The sequence below is a fragment of the Homo sapiens genome, chromosome 6 (assembly GCF_000001405.40).
Source record: "Homo sapiens chromosome 6, GRCh38.p14 Primary Assembly".
In the NCBI taxonomy this organism is placed as follows: domain Eukaryota; kingdom Metazoa; phylum Chordata; class Mammalia; order Primates; family Hominidae; genus Homo; species Homo sapiens.
The window spans coordinates 108116883-108142202 of NC_000006.12; the positions used below are offsets into that span (position 1 = coordinate 108116883).

Genomic DNA, 25320 nt, shown 5'->3' on the forward strand with positions numbered 1-25320 from the left:
GGCTTTGTAGAAGGCGACAATCACTCCCGCCCTCTACGACGTCCTCCCTGGCCCGGGCAGCCCAACTGGGGCGGGGACGGGGGTTACTCGGGTCGGATCCCCTTTTCTTCCCTATCTATCCTACCTCCACTCCCGCGGCCACGCGAAGGCGTCTCACCCACCCCCTTAGGGGCACGTGGGCGAGTGTCTGGTGGCCGGGTGAGTGGAACCCGCCGCCCAGTCCTTGCAGCGGGCTCTGGTCTAGTGGGTGAGGATCCCTGGGGAGGTCCCAACTCCGGTGCAGCGTCCGCGGGGTGAAGGGCGCGAGTGCATTCAGGCCCCAAGGGAAACTCGGGGACATCTGCACAGACAAGAATCCCCAAGGAGGCCCAGGTCCCACGGCCAAAGTCCTCGACCCCCACCAGGCTGTCTCCCTCTAGTCCTCCCCACTCCTGACCTGCCATTCGGGACGGAGCCAGTCCGCGGGCACCCAAGGGCGCAAGCTGGTACAAAAAGCACGCGCAGGGGTGTGCCTGGGTGCGCAGGAGTATGTGTGTGTGTGTGTGTGTTTGTGTATGCGTGTGCAGGTGAGTCCAGCTGTCGTGTAAATGTGACTCTACATAAGCTTGTTGCTGTGTAAATGTGTTTTTTCTTGGTATAGGCACAAACGTGTGAACGTTGGTCTAAATGGTATGTAGTGTGTGTAATAGTACACATGTGATGTGTGAGCGGTGTGTGATGTGCGTGTGGTGCGAAGAGGGGAGGTGACAGGCCAGAGAGGTTTCCCCAAAGGGAGAGGCACGGAGGGCTTCCGGAGTGAGGGTGCCTGGGGGTGAGGCGGGAGCTGGGCACTGCCCCACCCAGCCCGGTGCCTCGAGAGGCTGAGGCGCGAGGCGGGAGCCCGGCCGCGCGGGGCAGCGGCGTCTCCTGGGCCGGGTGAGGTCGGACAAGGGGAAGAAGGAACCGCCTCCGCGCCTCCCGCGGCCCTGCCCCACCGCCCCGAGGCCGGCCGGTGGAGGCTCTCTCCACCCATCCCCTGGAAAATGAAAGTACCCCAGAAGCACAAGTTGGCCTGCAGAGCGCGAGAGCGCGGAAAGGCCGCTGACAGCAAGGACCGCGCGTGCACCTTGCGGCCCCGGACCCTTCTCAGCCCGAGGAGTTTGGGCTTCAGGCCCTCCCAGACACGGTGCAAGGAGAGGCTCGGGCTGCCGCCCCCGAGTCCATGAGCGCCGGAGCAGTTCCCGCCCTCGAAGTTCCTCTCCGGGAGAGAGGGAGAGAGCGAGGGAGAGAATGAGACAGGGAGGGAGGGAGAGAGGGGCGCGCGGCTTCTGAGGCGACCCCTCCCGGAGATGCTGCGGCCGCGCCGGGAATCCGCCCAGCGACCTGCTCTGCCCGGCCTTCTTAGAAATAACTTTGGCCCTCACTTGGCTGTAGCAGAAAGGAATCGAGGCCCCCGTCCATAATCGCAGGTGTCGGCGTGGAAAGGAGCCACGCGTGCACACTCATGGGTCTCACCGCGCGGGCTTCCGCGGCCCGGCAAGCCGCTGCGCCTGCCTCGCCGGCGGCCCACGGAGCCCGTCCGCGCTTGCCCTGCACACCTGCGCCCGCGCGAGGACCCAGCCGCCGAGGCCGTGCGCCCGCCGGGCTGCGGGGGCCGTGGGCAGGGGGCGCAGGGGGCGCAGGGGGCGGCCGGCGCGGCGGCTGAACCCGGGCTGACGAGGCCCAGCCGCCTGCGGGGCCCGGAGCGGGAGGTACCGGCTAGGGGCGCGTTTCTTTCGCATCCACACCCCGCCCCCACCCCTCTCTCCAGGGATTTTTTTTTTTTTTTTTTTTGTATCCAGGCACAGCTGGGGGCTCCCTCACCACCCACCCCTGGCCTCCCCATACAGAATAAAGTCAGTCTGTATTTAATGGTTATGGCGGATGTGAGGGGGATTTGGCAGAGGCAGAAGAGAGGCCTTTCGCTCTCAAATATCGTCCCTTACGTCGTGTGAGTCTACCAACCCACCACGACCTCATATTCTTGTGCGGGTGTCTGACTCGAATGACAAGCGAGCTGATTTTTTCAGTACATAGCTGGGAAATGTAGTGAGTGATAATAGAGATTTCTCTTTCATTTTTTACGCTTGACTTGGTTATTGTTGCTTTTCTTTTCCCGTGATTCCTTCTGAGGATTAGCTCTGACTTCCCCACTATTGGCGGTCAAAGTGGCCCCGACTCGGGATGACAATTGACGGGGATCAAGGGATTGCCCATTCTGTGCCTGTAAGAACCGATTCGTGCCAGAGAAACTCATCAAGTGGAGGCGGAGAATAAAGACCGTTCGGGGGTAAATGTATTCATTGAGAAGGGTTCTCCCAAATTGCTTCTAAGTTTTTTTAATGAAAAGTAACGATTGCGGCAATCAGCGGCTTTTTGGCGGATTACAAATCTGGAGGGAGCTGCGGCGCTGCATTGAAAAGTGCCCCCGCCTTCGCACCGGGCAGCCGGTTCACAGGAGCAGCGCGAGGGGCGGGGGTCCGATAGCGGGACAAAGGCGGGGAGGGGGCGAGCGGAGGAGGGCGGCTCGGGGCGCCCGGGCGCGCATCGGGCAGGAGACGCGGAGGTGCCCACCCCAGCGCAGGCGTGGCAGGGCGCCCCCCACCGAGGAAGGCGTGGGGCAGGGTGCAGGAAGGGGACCGAGGGAGGTCTACCGCAGCACCACCAGCACTGGGGAGATTCCGGGCATCTGGAGCGAGGAAGGTGTGCTATAGGGGTTGAGTCCATCACCGTGGAAGTCCGGGGAATGGGAGGTGCGACTCGGTCCCCCACCTCTACCCCGGGCACGGTGGTGTCTTCTTTTAAAGACGTCTCACTTCGCAATTGGAATCGAAGCGTGGGCCGGTGTCGGGTCTTCCTGGTGTTACAGGCAGGAGGAGGGAAAACTGAGTCCTTCCTGGGATGGGGCAGGACCCTCACACGCAAGACCCCACTGAGCTGGACTGGCGCGGGGGCGGATCCCTTCTCCCAAATGCTTCTGAATGGCGCGCGACCTGGTCCCCTCTGCCACACGGACCCTGCGCGCACGCCCTGGCCCTGGCGGCCTCTGGGGACACGTTCTCCAGGCCCGCACGGCGCCCCGGCCTAGGCCGCAACGCCCCCCGCCCAGAGGAGTTGCCTCAGAAGATGGGCAGGGGACACACTAGAGGGCAGGGAAAAATCGCTGTTCCCACAGAGGCCGAAATCAGCAGCAGCAGCCTCAGGCAGCGGCATTCAGCCTGACTTTTTATACGTTTATTTTTAAAAGTGTATCTTAGCAGGGGGGTGGGAGGTATGTTTCTTTGCTGGGACTTCTTTAAGGCTCTCTGAAGTAAATAGGGGTGGGGGGGGGCGCAGAGAGACAAGGGTGGAGAAGAGGAGAAGAAAAAGAAAGACTCTCCCTCTCCTTCCCCCCTCCTCAAGTTTAAGAATAAATCCAGCAGGCAAGTCCGCAGCCCTGAAGGTTTAACTTTTTTTCTTTGCAGCTTGTCAATGCGACCATTGCTTTGATGGGAGGCTCCTCAAGGTGACACATTTCTGAACTTCACCCTCTTTTCAAACTAACTCCCTACCTCCTTGTTAGTGGCCAGCTCTGAACTTCTGCAGAGTGTTTTTGTGTGAGTCAAGGCTCATTCACGGGCGCCTTTGTGGGCCTCTCCTCCTTTCAGGCCTCAGCGTGTTACACCAATTAAAGGGCGACGTGCTGTAAATGTAATGGGCCGCGCAGCGATTGTTTCTGACAAGCAACAAAACACATAGATCCACCCCTTAGATTAGGCCGTTGAAGGGGAGGTTGAGGCCGGTCAGTTTACTGAATAGTTTGTGAACTGTAATTCTGAGGGCTCATGTGAAAAAAAAAAAAAAAGTCTCTTCCCACCTCCCTCGCCTTGCTCCTCCTTCCCAAAAGCTAAAAAAAAAAAAAAAAAAAAGAAAAAGAAAAAAACAAGTGACATCCATGGGGCAGAATGGGGTCACTAGAGAAAAAAACCTATGTGAGGGGCTTGGTCTGTTACTTGGACAGTCCTGAGAGCCCCTTCAGCTCTTTGCCCTCCCCGCTTACTCTTTGAAAACGTCCAGCCTGGCCCTCAGTTTTACTGGCCACAGCAGCCTTCTCCTCTGATGGCAGGCCTGACCCCCCCGCAAGAGGACTTGAGATCAGGGCAGGAATGAGAGAAAGTCGGGTTGTCTTGGAGAATTCTGCTGGGGTTTGACCTGGTCCTGGTGGGACACTGATGAGTCACAGGCTGTGGATACCCCCACCCATTCCTCCCCTGGAAGGAACTTCACCTTCTGTCTCTCCCTCCAGCCCCCAGTTCTTTCCGCAGCCCCGGGTGCTGCAGAGGCCTGGGCTGTCTCTAGCCTCCTGAGATTTCCTCCTCTTTTCCAGCACCTGGCATCCATCCTGGTTCCTGCAACTCTGTCATCACCTGACTGTTAAGGAGCACGATTCACCTGGAAAGGAAAGGGTTAGAGATAATCTGCTCCATCATCCTCACAAATCCTGGGGCCCAGAGAAGTGACTGGACCAAGATCACCAAGCCAGGCACTGAGCTGCAACTGGAATTCAGCTCTCTCACCTGCCAGGCCATCCCATCCCACATATCACCACCTTCCCACACCTCACTGTCTGACCCCTGAACTTGCCCAAAGGACCTCAACCCCGCCCCCGCCCCAACTCAAGGATGGCTGACCTTTCAGCCCCCATCATCTTTGTCCTCAGGCGATTCTAGCTTCTGAGGCTTCACGCAGGTGTTCCTCCCCCAACTCCCCCAGCTCCTTTCCTTCCAGCTTCTGCCCATCTCTAGCCTTCTCAGCCCAGCTCCGTTCAACAAATAGTTATTGACTGTCAGTTACGTACAGCGGGTGTTTTGCCTTTTCTATGAAACTTCCCCAGCTACTCTTCCTCAGTATGCTCCTCCCCACTCAGACTCCTCTACCTCGCTTGTCCATCACTTTCTGTTTGGAAACCTATGCATTATTCAAGCCCCTGCTCACATAACACTTCTGTAAAGCCATGCCAGGGTGGAAAGACCCCGAGGGAGGAAAGTGAGCCTGATGGAGGAACTGAACGAAGTCCCGTGTGGCTGGAGCAGAATGAGGCTCGGGAGAGGCGCAAAGGTCAGGTCTCAAACAGCCTTGTGGGCCACACAGGGATTTTGAATTTCACCCTGGAAGCAATGGGAAGCTATTGAACAGGTTTGAGCAGTGAGGTCCCCCTTGTCTTGACTGAACTTTTGGAGAATAGAAACTACATGCTTTTCATCTTTGTGTTCCTCTACTCCTACCAATGTCTGGCACGCGATGCCCAAGAAACATTTGCTGAACCAATGAACCCATAACTCATTAAGCACATACTACCCAGCCCTTCCTTAGCTCTTCATGGTGGCTAACCAGGTTGTAAGTAACCAAGATGGCAGAAACCAAGTTATGGTGTCTCTGAATTCTCAACAGTACCTGATTGATACTGAATTCATGCTAGGAATACAGTACAGTCATCCTTTGGTATCCATGGGGGATTGATTCCAGGACACCACCTCATACCAAAATTTGAGGATGGGCCGGGTGCAGTGGCTCATGACTATAATCCCAGCACTTTGGGAGGCCAAGGCAGGCAGATCACTTGAGGTCAGGAGTTCGAGACCAGCCTGGCTGACATGGTGAAACCCCATCTCTGCTAAAAATACAAAAATTAGCCAGGCATGGTGGTGTGCGCCTATAGTTCCAGCTGCTCGGGAGGCTGAGGCAGGAGAATCGCTTGAATCCAGGAGACAGAGGTTGCAGTGAACTGTGATTGCACCACTGCACTCCAGTCTGGGAGACAGGGCGAGACTTCATCTGAAAAAAATAATAATAATAAGTTGAAGATGCTCAAGTCCCTGATATAAAATGGCATAGTATTTGCATATAACCTATGTACATCTTCCTGTATACTTTAAATCATCTCTAGATTTAATACCTAATGCAATGCCTGCACATCAGTTCCAAGGAATTCAATGTAGTACTTAGTGCCATAGATTCAAGCGTGTTTGCTTTTTTAAAACCTTGTGGAAAAAGTTTCCAAATATTCTGGATCTGCAATTGGTAGAATATACAGAGGCAGAACCCACAAATACGGAGGACTGACTGTCCTCTCCTGTCCATTGATTAAAGGTGTGCAAGGGGAAGAATTCAAAGTCAGGAGGCCAGATTCTGATGACACTTCTTGTCCTTGCCAGTAACTGATGGCCTCACCTTGGGAACACACTGCCTAACTACTCTGAAGCCTTGGCTTCTTCATTAATAAAATGGGGACAATGCCCCTTAATTCATGGATTGTGAGAACTAAATAGCATTCGTATGTGAATGACTTGATTTTGAAGGAATACATTAATGAATGAAAATCAGTGCATGTCCTGGAGCCAAGGTAAGACCAGTGATGACAGCGCCACTTTAAAATGACAAAAGACAGTTCTGGAGCAAGTGGGATCCTTGGAGAACTGCTCTGTCTCTCATAGCAGGCTTCCCCTCTTTTGCAGTTGGCCCAGGACCCAGCTGGTCCCACATCTTCCCCCAGGGCGTGCCACCCCGGCTGACACCCTTCACACTTGGCTGCCTACACTCCTGCTCTAAGAAGCCTGTTTCAAAGAAGCCCACATTCCCTTGTTGCACGTAGAAGGCTGCAGTTGGAGACGGGACAACTAGGTTCTGGGAAGCCATGGCAGAAATCACGCAGACTCTGATTCCCGCCGAGAACCAGCCTAAAGAACCACTCATGGCAAGACGGGGGCCCACCGGCCTGCTGGCTCCTCACCAAACTCTACTCCGCATTGACTGTGGGCTCTTGTTCTAGAGGCACCCGCATCCTCAGGATGAAATGTGAGTACAAGAGCAGAGACTGCCGGTGCTGGTGTTTGCAGGTATGTGTGTGTGTGTGTGTGTGCACGTGCGTGTCCACAGCAATTAGCCTCTGATACACATAGTGGGAGAAAAGAATCCCCAAAGAGGAAATAAACAAGTCTTTTTGTTTAAGTTTCTACATCCGAATCAAATTCTTCTTTAAAAACTATCTCTACATTTCCACTCAAGGACAGAAAGGAGAGAGACACAGGCTTCTTACCCTTGTAGCGCCTTCATCTGAAGAGATTTTTAAGCTCAAAGAGCAGATGTAGAAGCTAATGTTTGTAAAACCTGATGAACTGTCAGCGAGCCACCACCCTGCCAGGGAGAGCTCCGGGAGCACAAGGGGGGTGCCTGCCTGGGGTGGGGATTGTCTGGCAAGCCTGTCCTCCCTGTGGAGCTGGTTTCCTGTCCCCGGGCTGAGCAGATGCCCAGCCAGAGGCCTGAGGTCTCAGAGGCTATCATGGGAATGAGTGCGTCCTTAGAAACCTTTCACTCCAACCTGATGTAGGTAGTGCTAAATCCTTTCCTGAGCCCCACACAACAAAAGCTAGGGATTCGAGCTCATGCTTCACGGATCCCTTAGCCACTAGGAATGCATGTTGCTTCAGCTCAGTGGCAGCTAGTGCAATCCTAAGTGATTTCAGTCAAGGGTTCTAGACTTTTTGTTCATGTTTTCTCTCACTCAATTGCTCCCAGAGACTATCTCTTTCTCAGCAAATGGGGTCACTCATTTTCATAGTAAACTTTGGTGATTGGGGTGCAGAGAGGTGGAGGGGGGAGTTGATAAGTAGATGGGGGAGTACAAACAAGGTCTGGAGGAATTTCTCAGGGGTGGGGGGAAAACAGTAGCTGTAGAAGAAAGGACTGAGAGCCTCAGAGATCTCTGGCCAATCCCTGGAGAAGTGGATCCCAACATGGCCTGCAGACTAAACCGTGGGCCCTGTGAGAGCTAAGCCACACTCGTGTGTTGCCACCGGATGAAAGGTGGAGGAGGCAGAAACCTAAACAAGTGAATTCAATTACATCTGAAAAAGATTAGGCTAAATTAGGATTCATTCCTTGGGCCAGTTCCAGGAAATATTTGTGAAAAGTTGGTTGAAAGAATACTACCATCTAAACCCTAATTTTGCTATTACGTAAAAGCCCCGATTCCTTTGCAGTAAAACATTAGAAAATGTTTTCCTCATTTTGTTTTTGCTACTGGTGTGTGACCTCTTAATTTAATTTTGGTTTTTGCTCATATAAATCAATGGCCGTGGAAACTTTTTCCTGTGGTGCAGCAAAGACAGGGGAAAAGTAGAACATCAGTAATTATATTTTAGGCACTTAATTTATTTAATGAGCAGTTATCAAGCACCCTTAATGGTTCCAGCCATAAACTATAGGATATCATCCTTTACGTTAGAGGATATCAGCCTGCTTCAGAGAACCTTCATGTGTGTCTCCGAGATGCAGAAAGAAGGAGCGTGTTCTTAGGTGAGACATTAGTGGACTGAGGTTAGAATTCATCAGCCTGATGCCCTGATAATTTCCTGCTGCCTTCTGCCTCTGCTGTGCCCGCAGTTGGAGCCCAATCAGTGATGCCACTGCCCAATTTGCCCAAATAGCCAGCCAGTGGGAATAAAGACCCAAACATCTCATATTTTTAAAATTAATTTTTTACCTTTCTGTCACCTGCCTGAACTGGTAAAGAAAATGTTTCTCAGGTTTCTTCAATTCCTCTTCTCAAGGAGAGCTGTTAACCCTTTGAGGGAACTCACATATCTATGGGATATGTTATACATTTGGAATGTTTTACACTTGGGAACAAAAACTAAATTAGGCAGATAGCTCAGATTTAGAATACAGTACATGCATTTTTTGGTCATGTGCCATTTCATGGTGGATGGAATTCATGGCTGCAGCTTACAGTTATATAGGTTCCACACTGCACTGTGCTGGAGGGAAACATTCACACAGACTATGGGTGGACAGAATTGTGTCTTCTGCTCATGGGGGTAGGAGGTGAGGACGGAGGGGTCACTCCCATCCTTTATTTCAGCAACTTAAGAAAACTGTGATAGATGTTGAAAGTAGTGTACTTATTTGGGATGAAATAACAACTTTTTTTTTTTTTTGAGATGGAGTTTCATTCTTGTTGCCCAGGTTGGACTGCAATGGTACCATATTGGCTCACTACAACCTCTTCCTCCTGGGTTCAACTCAGCCTCCCAAGTAGCTGGGATTGCAGGCACCTGCCATCACGCCTGGCTAATTTTTTGTATTTTTGTTAGGGGCAGGGTTTCACTATGTTGGCCAGGCTGGTCTCAAACTCCTAACCTCAAGTGACCCACCTGCCTTGGCCTCCCAAAGTGCTGGGATTACAGACATGAGCTACCGCACCCTGCCTGAAATAACAATTTTAAAGTTCTAGACTCAGGTAACTTGAGTTCAAACTGCCTCTGCCATATTGCTTAACCTCTCCATTTCTTATCTATAAAATGACAGATAGATAACATTAAATAATAAGAGTAACCACTCATAGGTTTATGAGGATTAAATGAGTTGATATATGTAAAGATCTTAGAATAGTGTCTGGCACATAGTAATTGCTCAGTTAATATTAGCTATTGTTATCATTATTCTTTGATGTGTTGGAAAAGCATTTCCCTCCTATTGTGGGAAGAAATAGGAAAACAAAGTTCCCACTGTTCTGTTTGACTATAGGCCCTGCATGGCTAGGCAGGAAGAGGAAAGGCACTCAAGTAGGACAGAACTGGGTTTATTTCTGTTGTAACCACCTATTGTGATCTTGGCCACATCCTCTACAAGCTGCAATTTCTTCAAATGCAGATTGAGAATAGTAATAGTATCTACCTTGCAAAGTTGTTATGAGAATTAACGACAAAATATGGAAAGTGCCCAACACAGTGCCTGACCCTTCATAGGCTCTCAAAAATATTTGTTACTGTCAGATTGAAGTTAAACCAAGACATGGCATTTGGATACTGTTAGAAAAAAAAAAAAAAAAAAAGCAGGATCACTGAGAATATTCTAGCCTCAGTGACAAAAGAAGAAAAAACAAGCTTTCCAACTCCCAGCCAGGAACAGTGATCTGAAAATCTTGATGTGGGGTTTGTGTTCAGTCCCCAGCCCTTTTTTGGACTGCCAGACCCTCGTGTTTGTCCTGCTTTCCCCACTTCTTTCTAGTCCTGGTCAGAAGTGATGTTGGAAGGGACTGAGAAAACCCATGAGGGAGAGGTGAAGCATCTCCCCAGTGCCTTTTTAATGTATGAGGGTGCTTCAATTACCAGATTGTCAGCTCCATGAGGGCAGGGACCATGTTTGTTCCTGTTCAACAACATACTCCTTGGTAAATATTTGTTGAATAAGTTAAAAAAGTAGAATACATTATTAATGACTGTATTGTATAGTAGCAGCTTGACTGTATTGTATAGTAGCAGCTCAGTTAAACCTGAACTCAATGAACTGAACGCTCAATTTACTTTTTTTTTTTCTACATCTCACTTTGTGAAAGAAAGTGCTAACAGGACAAGCTCATATGAGGAATTTAGTATCAAGAAAACTAATCACAGTTTTTCAAAGTATGATCTGGGATTTGTACAGATTCAGCCCAATTTCCTAAACCTTGTGCATGGAGCTCATTAGCACTGCAGAAATCATTCAACAAACATTTATAGAGCAAGTCCTATGTACCAGTGGTCCCCAACCTTTTTGGCAACCTTTTTGGCATGGACCAATTTCATAGAAGACAATTTTTCCACAGACAGGTGTGGAGGGATGGTTTTGGGATGAAACTGTTCCACCTCAGATCACCAGACATTAGATTCTCATAAGGAGCGGGCAACCTAGATCCCTCGCCTATGCAGTTCACAATAGGCTTTGCACTTTTATGAGAATCGAATGCTGCCGCTGATATGACAGGAGGCGGAGCTCAGGTGGTAATGCTCACTCACCTTCTGCTCACCTCCTGCTGTGTGGCCCAGTTCCTAACAGGCCATGGACCAGTACTTGTCCATGGCCTGGGGGTTGGGGACCCCTGGTATATGCCAAAGACTAAAATAACAACATAACTTTCAATTTACTAATTACTTTCACATATAAATTTAAAGTAATTATCCCTGACGAAAAGGACAAGCATGACCACCTTCATTTTCCCTCCCCATAGTAGGAAAGCAGGACTCAAAAAGGTTCAGTGACATGCCTGAGGCTCCTCTGATGTCACCGCTGGGCTGAGGCATGCTCTGACCCATAAACCCAGTTCTGTTTTAATTTCTTCCTGTGATCCCTTCCATGGGAACTGCTGTTTAAACTCATGACTCACACATCACCAGGAGAACACAAATATTGTCACTATGTTTACAAAGAGAGAAAAGTAAATATTTTAGAAACACTTTTGGGTACTGTTGTTTTTCTTTTCTTTTTTTAAGAAAAAAGCATTTTCTGGTTAACTTGAAGGTTTCATCAGAAAATAAAATGAATCAGATTACTTCATTCCCCAGTGTACCCATTAATCCAAATTTGAATCTAGTTATTTAGGATTTAAAATAGAAAAAAAAAAAGGTATATTTGGCTGTTTCTAACAATCTGAATAGGAATTTTCAGCATGAATTTCCTCAGTAGATGCTTGGTAACTTAAACCCCTTGCCAGGTCCATCCCTGACTGTTGTGGCTGAGAGAGCTATTGTGCAGAGGGAGTGGGCACATCTGCCCAGGTGGTAAGCTAACACAAGAAGCTACAGGGCCACAGAGAGGAAAGAGAGAGAGGGAGAGAGAGAGAAATACCTACAATTTCCCAAAACGCTCTGCTATATTTCCCGTTTCCACTCAGTAACCACCATCCCTTATCCCAATACATAAGGAAGTTAGAAGAGGTCTCTTACCCTTTGATATGGTTTGGCAGTGTCCCCACCCAAATCTCATCTTGAATTGTAACTCCCACAATTCCCATGTGCTATGGGAGGAACCTGGTGGGAGGTGATTGAATCACAGGGGCGGGTCTTTCCCGTGCTGTTCTCATGATAGTGAGTGGGTCTCAAGAGATCTGATGGTTTAAAAATGGGAGTTTCTCTGCAAAAGCTCTTTTTTCTCTTGTATGTTGCCACGTGAGACATGCCTTTCACCTTCTGCCATGAGAGTAAGGCTTCCCCAGCCACATGGAACTGTAAATCCATTAACCCTCTTTCTTTTGTAAATAGCCCAGTCTTAGGTATGTCTTTATCAGCAGCAGGAAAATGGACTAATACTCCCTTACAATACAATTTGCTCTGATTAGGATAGTTAGGATAAAGGTCACCCTCAGGATGACTTGGATGGGAAAGATGGAGGGTTCGTTTGATCAGAAAGCCTGGGGGAAATGGCAATGCAGGCCAGGTTTGACTTGCATCCTTCAATCTCCCATCGCCCTCCCTAACCTGCTTCCTAGCCACTTCTCCCGTGGTCTCCCTTACCCATGCTGTCCTTCGCTCCTGAAAGTTTGTAACCACTACACACTTCCTGGGCCTGTCCCTTTTGGAAGTGCCTCAGGCTTCAAAATTACTGTCACAACCAGCTTTTTAGTTGAGTATTAAGATTATCTGACCAAGTTAACTCATTCTAACATGAATGATCACTAGAGAAGACGCAATTCAAAAGAAGGTCTTCGTAACCTAAAGGAAGCTCTAATTTGTGGATTTCATGGGGGAAATGTTACAGGGGCCCATGGCCAGGGTGGGGGTGAGTTACCTGGGTCAGGTGCTTACCTCTGGTCAATAAACTGAGGGCACCAGGAGCATGTGGCCCACAGGGCAGCTGGACCAGTGGGCCAGGGTGGGTTATTTTAAAAGGGAATATGGGTTGGGGCAGTGATTGGTATCACCTTTGTATGATTCTTATATTAGTCTGCTCAGGCTGCCATAATAAGATACCATAGACTAGGTGAGTTAAACAACAGAAATTCATTTTCTCACAGTTCTGGAGTCTGAGAATTACAAAATCAAAGTGCTGCTTGATTTGGTTTCTGGTGAGGGCCCTCTTCCTGGCTTGCAAGTGGCTGCCTTCTCTGTGTCTTCACATGGCAGAGACAGAAAGAGCTCAAGTGTCTCTTCCTCTTCTTTTAAGGGCACAAGTCCTATTGAATTACAGCCCCACCCTTATGAGCTAATTTAACCTTTATCACCTTCTTACAGACCCTGTCTCCAAATACAGGCACATGGGGGTTTAGGGCTTTAACAAGTGAGTTTTGAGGGAACACACATATCCAGTCCATAACATTCTGCCTCCTGGTCCCCCCAAATTCATATCCTTCTCACATGCAAATACATGCATTCTACCCCAATAGCCCCCAAAGTTTTAACTAATTCCAGCATCAACTCAAAGTTTCAGGTCCAAAATCTCATCTAAATATCACCTAAATCAGATATGGGTGAGACTCAATGTATGATTCATCCTGAAGCAAAATTCCTCTTCAGCTAGCAACCCATAAAACCAGAAAAATCATATGCTTCCAAACTACAATGGTGGGACAGGCATAGGGTTGACATTCCCATTCTAAAAGGGAGAAAGAGCAAAAAAGGAAAGGGTGATAGGTCTCAAGAAAGTCCAAAACCTGGAAAGGCAACTTCCATTAGATGGTAAGGCTTGAGAATAATTCTTCAGCTCAGAGGGTGCCCCACCTCTCCAGCTCTTGAGAAAGGCCCTGCACATATGGCTGTCTTCAAGGGCTCTGCCTTCTGAAACTGAGGAGAAAATAGTCTTGCCTCTGGGCTTGTGGTGGGAGTGACAGCCTTGGTGATCTCTGAACTGGCTTCAGGTCACTTTTCTCTTTCTTAAAGGATAGCTCATGTTCACAGCCTTCCTTCATTCTGGCCAGTTTTCTCCCAGCTAGTGAAGTTTTGCTGGTATAATCCTACCTCCATTCCTGGCTTCTGCTGAGATGGCTGATTAGATCGTAGTTCACATCCACATTAACCTCATTATTAAATAGTCACTCAGCCACACCCTTAGTGTTCTCTTCAGAACATGATTCCTCATTTTTTTGCAATATGAATAGGCTAAGAATTTTCCACATCTTCAAGTTCTGATGTCTTTTCGTTTAACAATTCCTTCTTCAATTTATCGCTGCCCTCTTGCATTTTACTATAAGCAGTAAGGCAGACCCACGCCTCACTTTCAATACCTTGCTTGGAAATCTTCTCTGCTAAATATCCAATTTTATTGCTCACAAGTTCTACCTTCCACAAAACACTAGAACGCAGCCCAGCAAAGTTCGTTTTCCCTTTACAACAAAGAGCACCTTTTCTCTAGTTTCCAATAATTGTTCATCATTTCTGTCTGAGACCTTACCAGATTGGCGAGGTCTACGTTTCTACCAACATTCTGCTCATTGCTATTTATGTGTATTCTCTAAGAAAATGAAGGCTTTCTCTCCAACTCTCTTCTCTTTCCGAGTCTTCACCAGAACTGTCTTTAAAGTCCATATTTCGGCCAGCCGTGGTGGCTCACGCCTGTAATCCCAGCACTTTGGAAGGCCAAGGCAGGCTGATCACTTGAGACCAGGAGTTCGAAACCAGCCTGGGCAACATGGCGAAACCCCATCTCTACCAAAAATACAAAATATAGCTGGGCGGGTGGTGCGCACCTATAGTCCCAGCTACTTGGGAGGCTGAGGCAAGAGAATTGCTTGAACCTGGGAGGCGGAGGGTGCAGTGAGCCGAGATCGTGCCATTGCACTCCAGCCTGGGCAACAGAGCAAGACTCTGTCTCAAAAAAAAATAAATAAATAAAGTCCATATTTCTATCAACAACCCCTCCTCAGCAATCTAGACATTTTCCAGCATGCACCTCAAAACTTCTTTAGCCTTGGTGGGGCACAGTGGCTCATACCAGTAATCCCAGCACTTTGGGAGGCTGAGGTGGTGGATCAGTTGAGGGCAGGAGTTGGAGAACAGCCTAGCCAACATGGTGAAACCCCGTCTCTACTAAAAATACAAAAATTAGCCAGGCACGATGGTGTGTGCCTGTAGTCCCAGCTACTCAGGAGGCTGAGATGGGAGGACGGCTTGAACCTGGGAGGCAGAGGTTGCAGTGAGCCGAGATCCTCTAGCCTGGGTGATGGAGAGAGACCCTCTCTAAAAAATAAAAAGAAATTAACTAGCATAGTTCTCATCTCATAAATCTCAACTACATAAATCACCTTAGATTTAGATATATAAGTGCACATTGGAGTCCCCTGAGGAAGCTTTAATAAACATACCATACTCTAGTTTCCCCCACCAGAAATTCTTATGTAATCAGTCTGAGGTGCAGCTCAGGTCTTGGGAGTTTTTTAAAGCCCATCAGGTAATTCTAATATGCTGTTTAGGGGCAGACATGGTACATCATCAAGCAAAGTTAGGGGGACAGAGGAGCTGGATGGGGCCACTTTATGTAGCTCAGCCCCAGAGCTACACCAATTGACTACTAACAGTCTCTTAGTTCAATTGGTTGAGGGCCTTTATACTCTTCTAGCTGTACCTGCAAAGGAATATAGAGCAATTTAGCAACATAGGTGTGCTAAGTACACATGCAATAAAACTGAAATCAAAGGCACAGAGCTTTCGGGGGAAATAGAGATTCTTTGGATATGGGAATGGTGGGGTTTTGTTTAAACTATGGTGTTGGTGACAAATAGAGCTCTGGCTTATGTTTCATAATGTATGTAGTTGTTTCCATGCACTTATCATCATTTAGCTGATTTTTTTTGTTTGTTTGTTTTTTGTTTTTGAGATGGAGTTTCGCTCTCGTTGCCCAGGCTGGAGTGCAATGGCTCTATCTTGGCTTACTGAAACCTCCGCCTCCCAGGTTCAAGTGATTCTCCTGCTCAGCCTCCCAAATAACTGGGATTACAGGCTAATTTTTGTGTTTCTAGTAGAGACGGGGTTTCACCATGTTGGCCAGGCTGGTCTTGAACTCCTGACCTCAGGTGATCCACTCCCCTCGGCCTCCCAAAGTGCTAGGATTACAGGCGTGAGCCACTGCACCCAGGCCCAGCCCATTAGGCTGATTTTTGACAATTACTACTTTTTCTTCTGGGAAGTTGGGAGCGTACCACCCTCCCTCATTTTCCCCGCTTTTCCCAGCTCACAGCCAGGAAAAGAGGAATGGTCCCACTAAAGGGCTACTGGGTCTAAGTTTGGCCTCCTGCAGGGTGGGGAGGAGATGGGGCTGGGAAGACGACAGGGAGAGAAGTTCCTCTCCATCCTAGCTGAGGAAGCCACTGGGCCTGGGTGTAGGTGGTGTCACCAGATATGATTTTGTCTGTGGTTCTTTCCTCTGTGCTGCTAGGAGCGGACAGTGACACTTCCCTCTTTGCTGAGGGGCAGCACCTCTTATCCACTCTGCCATGAGGGAAGTAAAGCAAACCAAAATGGCAATTTACCGTCGAGGCAAGGTTTTGTGCAATATTCATTCAATATCAATCTGGTGAGAGGCCAAAAGTACACTGACATTTTTTGCATGGTAAACAAGGGCCATGTGACATTGTTCCAGCTTTTGCCATAGAGAACTACGCAAAAACTCCAATCCATTAAAAGATGCTAATTCCTTAAAGAGAATCCATTGATGATCACTTGAAAAAGATGGAACCAACCCTGCCATGTAGTTTCAAAAATAAGTTCCACCGTGCATACAGAGTTGCCATTTGGGAAGATGAAAAAATTCTGGAGAGGACTGTGGTGATGGTCTCACAACAATACGAACGTACCTCGTGCCACTGAACTGTACACTTTCAAATGGTTAACATAATAAGAAGGAAAAAAAATCCACATTGAAAACTAAAGGCATCCCATACTCAGAGTTAACACCATCTTTAAATACATGATATTCAAACCGAAACCCTTTAAATACATGATATTCACACTGAAAGATACAGTCTTGTACGTGCAGGAGAGAAGGCGAGCGAGGGCATGGCAGGCAGGGCGTGTCTGTGCCACCACCAACACCAGACTTTCCATTCGCAAACAGCTTGTCAGACTGGAACTCTTCCTTCGTTCAGCTGGTGTTTCGGTGCCAGACAATCAAAGGAAAAGGAGAGAGAAACCAGCGAAGCCCTAGAGAGACAGGGAGAAAGCCTCAAAGCAACGGAGACAGAGCCGGGCCCCACCGCACGGCTGGAGGGCCGCCCCCACACGGAGCTGCCCCAGCCCAGGGCCTGCGGGGCCGAGTCGCCTCCCGGCAGCTGAGTGGCAGCCTCGGCTGCGGACCCAGGCGCAGCTTCCCCCAGAGGCCGGCGCTATTAACTCCCGGGGCCTCCTGCGGCGGCGAGGCGGTGGCACGGCTCCTCCCGCTCCCTCGGCCTCCAGGTTCAATAAGGATTACATCATGGAGCAAGTATGCGGGGCAGCCTGAGAATCAAAGCCGTCAGCACCGGCGGCTGGTTAACTGTACTGTTGCTGAAACACATCCTTCCCACCCCCTCCCCGCGCCCCTCTCCCTGCCCCGGCCCTCTGCTTTTCGTACCATTAAGGATAGCATTATTGGGGAGAGGAAAATCTGATCAAAACTGTCGACCGCCAACGACAGATTTTCTATGGATTCTATAAAGGCCACCTTAACGATTTCCCTAATTAATGGATGACATCTTTGGCTGAAGGAGAAACGATGGATTCGACTCTGTCTTCGTCTTTGTTAACCTTCTAATTAACTTTCGTAGGTCACCCAGGTCTCCCAAACCTGAAAAGTGAAGAGGCCCATTGTGCGAGGAGCAGTAAACTTACTTTTTCTGCTGGGGTACTTAAAAGGGAGAGCGGCTATAGGCCGAGAAAAATAACTCCATTTAAAAGCTTTGTGGCTGCAGAGAATACATAGGTCCCTCCCTTAGAAAATAATTGAAACACCTTTTATACCAATATTTCTATGCATAATAAAAACAAATTAGCAAAATGCATCTAAATTCAGCAGCACTTTCAAATTACCTTTTTTGGAATGTAAGCCTCTGCAAGTCAACAAAAGGAGTTGGGTTTAGAGAGAAAATTGCAACTGCAACAGCTATCAGCCTTTATGCTGAGAGAGCAAGGAACTCGGATCCCTCCGAGTCAGGGCCGGGAACTCGTATACCTCGGAGTTATCTCCCTGAGGAAATGCTCCAAAATACACTGCCCTTGCAGAAGCTGAGCTGTAAACTGCCTGAGGGACCTAAAGACTCTTCACAAATGAGCAGGACTTTTTCTGGATAGAGTGATCTTTTGGGGTTCAGAAATATTTTAATGGTGTCAGTGAAAAACAAACTGCAGTGGAAAAGCCAGAAAACGAGATAAAGCTCCACTGTGATCATAATATTGACAGAGCAGAGCAATTTATTTTAAAAAGTTAAAAAAAATTGAGTTTTATTTTTGGTAGATTTGCCAAACTAGGCAGATGAGTTGTGGACACTGCTCTAGTTCCTTGGCATCTTTGAGGGCAATGTAAAGGAGATACTGAGGGAACAAACAGCAGGTGCCCGGCCTAAAGTGGAACCAAATGGAGAATCCTTTAAATAATTTTGCTAAAGGAGCACTCCTCTGAGATAACTTGCAAGGGAATGGGATTCCTAGCCCAAGGACAACAGCAGCTATTTGATCATTGTTTTCTGGTTGTAAACAAAATCAGAGCTAATTATCAAAAAGCACAAACCTTTAAATACTGTCAATATTGTAATTTTATAAATTAAATTATAATTTTATAAATTTAATTGCTACTATTTAATATTTTAATGCAATATTTTAATTGTGTCTATTCATTTTTCTATGTCCCCTCAAATTTTTACATAGTTCAGATTATATTCTACTTTTTGTTACTTTAATACCTTAATACCATATCATTAGCATTTTTCTTTTTTTTTTTTTTTTTTTTTTGAGAAGGAGGCTTACTCTGTCACCCAGGCTGGAGTGTAGTGGCACGATCTTGGCTCACTGCAACCTCCGCCTCTCAAGTTCTAGCGATTCTCCTGCCTCAGCCTCCTGAGTAGCTGGGGTTATAGGTGCAAGCCACCACGCTCAGCTAATTTTTTGTATTTTTAGTAGAGATGGTGTTTTACCATGTTGGCCAGGCTGATCTCAAACTCCTGTCATTAAATGATCCACCCGCCTCAGCCTCCCAAAGTGCTGGGATTACAGCCATGAGCCACCGCACCCAGCCTGTTTTTCTTTTTCTTTTTTTAACATTAAAAAAATTGTTTTTCAATTTAGAGATAGGCTCTACCTGGTTATGTTGACCAGTCTGGTCTCGAACTCCTGGCCTCAAGCAATCCTTCAGCTGCAATCCTCCTGCCTCAGCCTTCCAAAGCCCTGGGATTACAGGTGTGGGCCACCATGCTTGTCCATCATTAGCATCTTCTGTTCCCTTTTTTTGTAAAAATGGGAACAAGATACCTTTTGGGTCCACATACCCAGATTAAAGGTGGGGGCAACTTGATATCTATTTCTAGAAAGCTCTCTGTCACTTGTGGGGAAATAAGTGCTCTCGGGCACTGCCGCAGGCATTTAAATTGCTACAATCTCTCTGGGCAATTTGGCATTATCTATCTTGGTAATTTTTGTAAATTTTGTAATCTTGCTTTGATGTAGCAATTCCTCTCTGGGAATTTTCCCTAGAAGTATATACTTGCACATGTAGAAAATATTATATGTAGAAGGTTATTCTTTGCAGCATTGTTATAATAGTGAAAGACTGAAAACAATCTAACTGTTCAACAGTAGGGAACTGGTTAAAGAAATATACTACATCCTCGACAGGACTGTTATGCTGCCATAAAAAATAGATGAGGGTGCTCGTTATGTACCAATTTGGAATAGTCTCCAAAATAGCCTGTTAGGTAACAAAGCAAGCAAACAAACAACAGCAACAAGGAGCAGAACATTGTGTAAAGTACGTCACTATTGGTGGGGAAAGGTGGGATTTGACATAGAAATTTCCTAGTAGTAGTTGTTTTCAAGAAGACAATGGAGTGGCTGAGGAATAGCTGTGGGAGGGACACTTCACTATAACTTTCATATCTTTAGAATTTCATACTGTGTCAATACTGGTTAAGCATTCCTAATCCAAAAACCTTAAATCTGAAATGTTCCAATGAACTTTTTTTTTTGAGGATCATGTCAGTGCTCAGAAAGTTTTGGACTTTGGAGCATTTCAGATTTTGGATTTTCAGATCAGAAATATTTAATGTGTATATTACCTATTCAAAAAATAAATTAACTCTTGAGCCCAGGAGTTTGAGACCAGCCTGGGCAACATAGCAGGACCCCGCCTCTAGAAAACAAAACAAACAAAAAAATGAGTTAAAACGTACATCTACATTTTTAAAAGAGAATGGGTTGCCATTTTCCAATGTGCTCTCTGCATAGCTCTGTACAATTCAAGGGTGGCCCAGTCTTAAAAGTGTCTTTGTTCATTTCCGTATACTAAATAGCTCATTTTAGACTTCTCGAAGTCTACCTGGGTTAAAAGACCCCTAAAATGGAAGGTACACAGTCACTCTCTCTTTGAAATTTTTAAATGTTTTATAACAAAAACAGAATAATGCATTCTGTGATTTAATTGTTCAAAATTAAAATTCAACAAACTGTTAATTCTGTATAAATAAAACATTCACAGGCTTCATCAGCACGTGCATCGGGACAAATGCTTTGGGCCTTGGAATTGTGAAAATATTTCCTAACATTTGAGATGTGCCAAGAAAGAGATAAAGAAATCAAATAAGATCTTGTATTATGCAAATTCTTCTTGCTCACAGGAGTCTGATTTACTTGTATCAATCAATGTAAGTGATTCACACTTCATGAGCTATATTAAGTGATTGAACTAAAACCTAGGGCCAATATTATTCTCTCCCCACCCCTCAACCCAGGCTGTCTGTATAAATAGGATTGGAAATTACTAGGTTGAAGATATGAAATTAGTGTTGTGTCAGTGGTTCAATACCAGCACTTTTTTTTCTTAGAGAGAGGGTCTTGCTTCGTCAGGCTGGAATGCAGTGGTGTGATTATAGGTCCCTGTAACCTCAAACTCCCAGGCTCAAAAGATCCTCCCCTCTTAGCCTCCCTAGCAGCTAGGACTACAGGCACATGCCCCCATGCCTGGCTAATTGTTTTACTTTTCTTTTCTTTTTTCTTTTTTTTTTTTTGAGATGGAGTCTCGCTCTGTCGCCAGGCTGGAGTGCAGTGGCACGATTTCGGCTCACTGCAACCTCCGCCTCCTGGGTTCAAGTGATTCTCATGCCTCAGCCTCCCGAGTAGCTGGGATTACAGGCGCACACCACCACACCCAGCTAATTTTTGTATTTTTAGTAGGGACAGGGTTTCACTATGTTGGCCAGGATGGTCTCGATCTACTGACCTCGTGATCCGCCTGCCTTGGCCTCCCAAAGTGCTGAGATTACAGGCGTGAGGCACTGGGCCTGGTCTACTTTTTTTAAAAGAGGGAGTATTGCTGTGTTGCCCAGGCTGGTCTTGAATTCCTGGCCTCAAGCGATCCTCTCCTTTCAGCTCCCAAACAGCTGGGATTACAGGTGTGAGCCACTAGGCCCAGCCCCAACAGCAGCAATTTTAAGATTCAACCTAATATTTCACATCATCATGATGTTGTAGCCTGTAGCAGAGACACTGTTAGTTGCCTGTCCAACATCCGTTTTTCCCTTTTTCCCTGTTAGTACTTCCATTTAATTCCCATTTAGGAAGGTAGTAAATCTCACTTCAGCTAAATCATAGAAATGGAATTCCGACTTCTTTTGCCTGTGATGGGTTTAGATTTGGGCATGTGATAAAGTTCTAGGCCCTTGAGGTGTCATAAAAGACAGCCAGAGGTTTCTGGGAAAGGTTTTTCTTCCACTGGATATTTTCAGGTCTAGAATTCCAGCGGCCACCTTACCACTACAAAGGCAGTAAGCGTACAGACAAAATGAGCGTGCTGAGGAGACACAGAAGAAAGGAAGTTGGGTCGCAATGATAGTACTGGGCTATTATATTAAACAACTATGTAATCCCCCAAACTTGCACTTTTGCTGTGTGAAATAATAATTTTCCTTATGATTTAAGCCATTTTGAGTTGGTGTTCTATTATACATTTTCACCACATAAAGTAGTGTGAGGCTCAGGTAGTATTTTGTAAAAGCTCTTCAAGTGATTCTATTGTGCTCCTCTGGTTGAGATTATTGTATTATTTTATTTTATTTTGAAACAGAGTCTTGCTCTGTCACCCAGGCTAGAGTGTAGTGGCGCCATCATGGCTCACTGCAGGCTCAATCTCCCTGGCTCAAGCCATCCTCCCATCTCAGCCTCCTGAAGAGCTGGGACCACAGGGGGCACCACCACACCCAGCTAATTTTTTTTATTTTTTTGTAGAGACAGGGCTTCTCTATGTTGTCCAGGCTCTATGTTGTCTCAAACTCCTGAGCTCAAGTGATCCTCCTGCCTTAGCCTCCCAAATTGCTGGGATTACAGGTGTGAGCCAACACCCCCAGCCAAAATTATTTTAAATCATAAAAATAAATGCCTCCTCAACATCATTAGTCATTAGGAAAATCAAATGAAAACCACAATGAGATACCACTTTACACCCACTAGGATAACCATAATAAAAAGGATGGACGATAGCAAATGTTGTCAATAATGTAGAGAAATCAGAACCTTCATACGTTGTTGGTGGGAATGTAAAATGGTGCAGCCACATTGGAAAATAGTTTGGCAGTTCCTCAAGAAGTTAAACATAGAGTTACTGTATGATCCAGTGGTTCTGCTCCTAGATATATACCCTAGAGAACTGAAGACATACATCCATATGAAAACTTACACACGAATGTCATATTAGCATTACCCATAATAGCCAAAGAGTAGAAACAACTCAAATATCTATCAACTTATGAAGAGATCAGCAAAATGTGGCATATTCACACAACAGAATATTATTTGACAAAACAAAAAAAGAAATGAAGTTCGGACACATGCTACAAGATAAACTTTGAAACATTATCCTAAGTGAAACAAGCCGAGGCAAAAGGCTATATAGTGTATAGTTTTATTTATATGAAATGTCCAAAATAGGTGAATCCATAGACATAGGAAGTAAATTAGGCTGGGTGCAGTGGCTCATACCTGTAATCCCAGCACTTTGAGAGGCCAAGGTGGGTGGATTGCTTGAGCTCTGGAGTTTGAGAACAGCCTGGGCAACATGGTAAAAGCCTGTCTCTACAAAACATTTTTTAAAAAATTGGCCAGGCATGGTGGTGTGCACCTGTAGTCCCAGCTACTCAGGAGGCTGAGGTGGGAGGATTGCTGAAACCTGGGAGGTGGAGGTTGCAGTGAACCAAGATGGCGCCACTGCACTCCAGCCTGGGAGACAGAGTGACACCCTGTCACAAAATAAAATAAAATAAAATAAAATAAAATAAAATAAAATAAAATAAAATAAAATAGGAAGTAAATTAGTAGTAGTTGCCAGGGGCTGGTATGGGGAAATGGGAAGTGACTGCTAATGAGTATGGAGTTTCCGTTTTGAGTGATGAAAATTCTGGAATTTGAGAGTAGTGATGGATATGCCACCCTGAATGTATGAAAAACTACAGAATTGTAGACTTTATAAGATGAACTTTATAGTATGTGAATTATATCTCAATAAAGCTGTTATAAGCTGGCCGCGGTGGCTCATGCCTGTAATCCCAGCACTTTGGGAGGCCGAGGCAGGCAGACCACGAGGTCAGGAGTTTGAGACTAGCCTGGCCAACATGGCGAAACCCCATCTCTACTAAAAATACAAAAAATAGCCAGGTGTAGTGGCGTGTTCCTGTAATCCCAACTACCCGGGAGGCTGAGGCAGGAGAATTGCTTGAACCCGGGAGGCAGAGGCTGCAGTGAGCCAAGATCACGCCACTGCACTCTAGCCTTGGTGACAGAGCAAGACTCTGTCTCAAACAACAACAACAACAACAAAACAACAACAACAAACTGTTATAAAAAATTAAGAAAATAAATGCCTCTTATAATTATTTAAAAGATCCCAAAATTACCATACAACTAAGAGCCAACTTTCAAAATTAAATATAACCAGTTTAATAGAAAGACTATTTTTTCTCTAATTAGATTTGGATTTTTGTAGTCATTTAAGCAAAATCAGTGAAGATTCTATCTCCCAGCAGACTATAAGTTTCATGAAGACAGGATCCACCTATGTGTCTTTGTGCCAGCATGTCCAAATGGATTACACATACAAATGAATGGATCTTGGTGTATCTTCTTAATGAGCACTTGTGGGCTTAGCCTCTAAAATTTAGGCCTCTGTTTATTTATCTGTAAAATGAGGTTAAAGCAGTAACTACCTTACAGGACAGATGTGAGAATTAAATAAGAGAATGGAGCTAAAGCTTTACGTAGTTCCTGGCATATAGTAAGAGTCAGTAAGAGGTAGTTATTGCCATTTTATTATGTAGCTATTATGATGATTGTATTTTGGGACTTTGTGTCAACTCATCACAAGAGATAAGAAATTTCCTATCAGCTGGTGTGAGCAAATCTTGAGTGATTATTTTTAGAATATATAGTCATTATTATTACAAAATGGAAGAAAAAGGAATTAGCAATTTTCAGATTTTGAAACAAAAAAATTGGAAATTGGAATTCAACAATCGTAAGATTTTACAAGTCTGTGAGTATGTGAAAAAAATCTAAAATATAGATTTGAATTCCTATAAATGATTTAGTCTGAAATAGTTTTCTAAATTTCTACTGTTTTTTTTCAGTTACTCCATGAAGTTTAAATACCAAAGGCGTTTTTGTTAAATGGTGAGCTTTCGGCCTGTGCTGCTTACAAGTGTTTGAGGGATGTCCCTCCTTCTCCCCAACCCTTGTATCCCTCAATCATCAGGCTATAAGATGTGCCTTATTTGAGTTCAATGCTTTTCACTTTGCATGAAGTTTAACACATACTGATAGGACACAAATTGAGTTGACAACTGTTTGGGGTAGGTAGGGGTGTGTTAGAGGCCAGACTTTGGTCCTTCCATCTCACACAGAGAAAAGCAAGCGTAGGTAAGTGATTTACCCAAAATCATATAACTTGGTAAAGGGACTTTGAAAGGAAAACTCAGGACAAGCCACTTTTTTTTCCTATTACTACAACACATAAAGCTCCTCTATCATATAACACACAGACAAACAAGGGACAACAAGCACCCCCTGCAAACCATCTCCCAGCAGCCATGATGGCAAGTATTAGAAGAGACAAGCACAATGGGGAAAAGCGCAAGATTTTCAAGGAAGTTCTTCAAAGTTTCAATGCAGGTTTTGATCATTTATCTGGTCACAAGTTTTCATTAGATCAATATGCTTCAATTAGCCTTCTTGTTTGCTTTTGTGAGGAAGATACAATGGCTAGGGAAAAGCAGGGGAACGATGAGCGAGGAAGTGTTTTGCTGGAGAGATTAGACAATCTCTGCTAGAATCAATTCCATGTATTCACACC

General features: G+C 46.1%; 2 long non-coding RNA genes across 3 annotated transcripts in view, besides 4 other annotated features; one reads left to right on the forward strand and one right to left on the reverse strand.

The window, feature by feature from the left end:
• Nucleotides 761–1050: a silencer, noted in NCBI's record as "silent region_17447". NCBI's record gives its function as "represses an Ori minimal core promoter by ATAC-STARR-seq in GM12878 lymphoblastoid cells {active_cell/tissue: GM12878}" and the evidence as "EXISTENCE:reporter gene assay evidence [ECO:0000049][PMID:35858748]".
• Nucleotides 761–1442: a biological region, named in NCBI's record as "H3K4me1 hESC enhancer GRCh37_chr6:108438941-108439528".
• Nucleotides 855–1442: an enhancer, noted in NCBI's record as "H3K4me1 hESC enhancer chr6:108438941-108439528 (GRCh37/hg19 assembly coordinates)". NCBI's record gives its function as "activates a minimal SCP1, AML or CMV promoter by ChIP-STARR-seq in primed H9 embryonic stem cells {active_cell/tissue: H9 hESC(primed)}" and the evidence as "EXISTENCE:reporter gene assay evidence [ECO:0000049][PMID:30033119]".
• On the reverse strand, nt 3238–21236 carry LOC124901368 (uncharacterized). Of its 2 annotated transcripts, none has more exons than XR_007059696.1 (2): nt 21205–21236; nt 3238–4449 (listed from the first exon to the last, which is right to left on the reverse strand). It is a non-coding gene; the product is annotated as an uncharacterized LOC124901368 (long non-coding RNA). The 2 variants fall into 2 exon arrangements; XR_007059695.1 differs by lacking the exon at nt 21205–21236 and adding an exon at nt 5452–5832.
• Nucleotides 6751–25320, forward strand: part of OSTM1-AS1 (OSTM1 antisense RNA 1) — a 35763-nt gene continuing 17193 nt past the window's right edge. Inside the window, exon 1 of the long non-coding RNA NR_145458.1 lies at nt 6751–6893. This is a non-coding gene — a long non-coding RNA (OSTM1 antisense RNA 1). The remainder of the gene's footprint in view (nt 6894–25320) is intronic.
• Nucleotides 16718–16797: an enhancer, noted in NCBI's record as "active region_24909". NCBI's record gives its function as "activates an Ori minimal core promoter by ATAC-STARR-seq in GM12878 lymphoblastoid cells {active_cell/tissue: GM12878}" and the evidence as "EXISTENCE:reporter gene assay evidence [ECO:0000049][PMID:35858748]".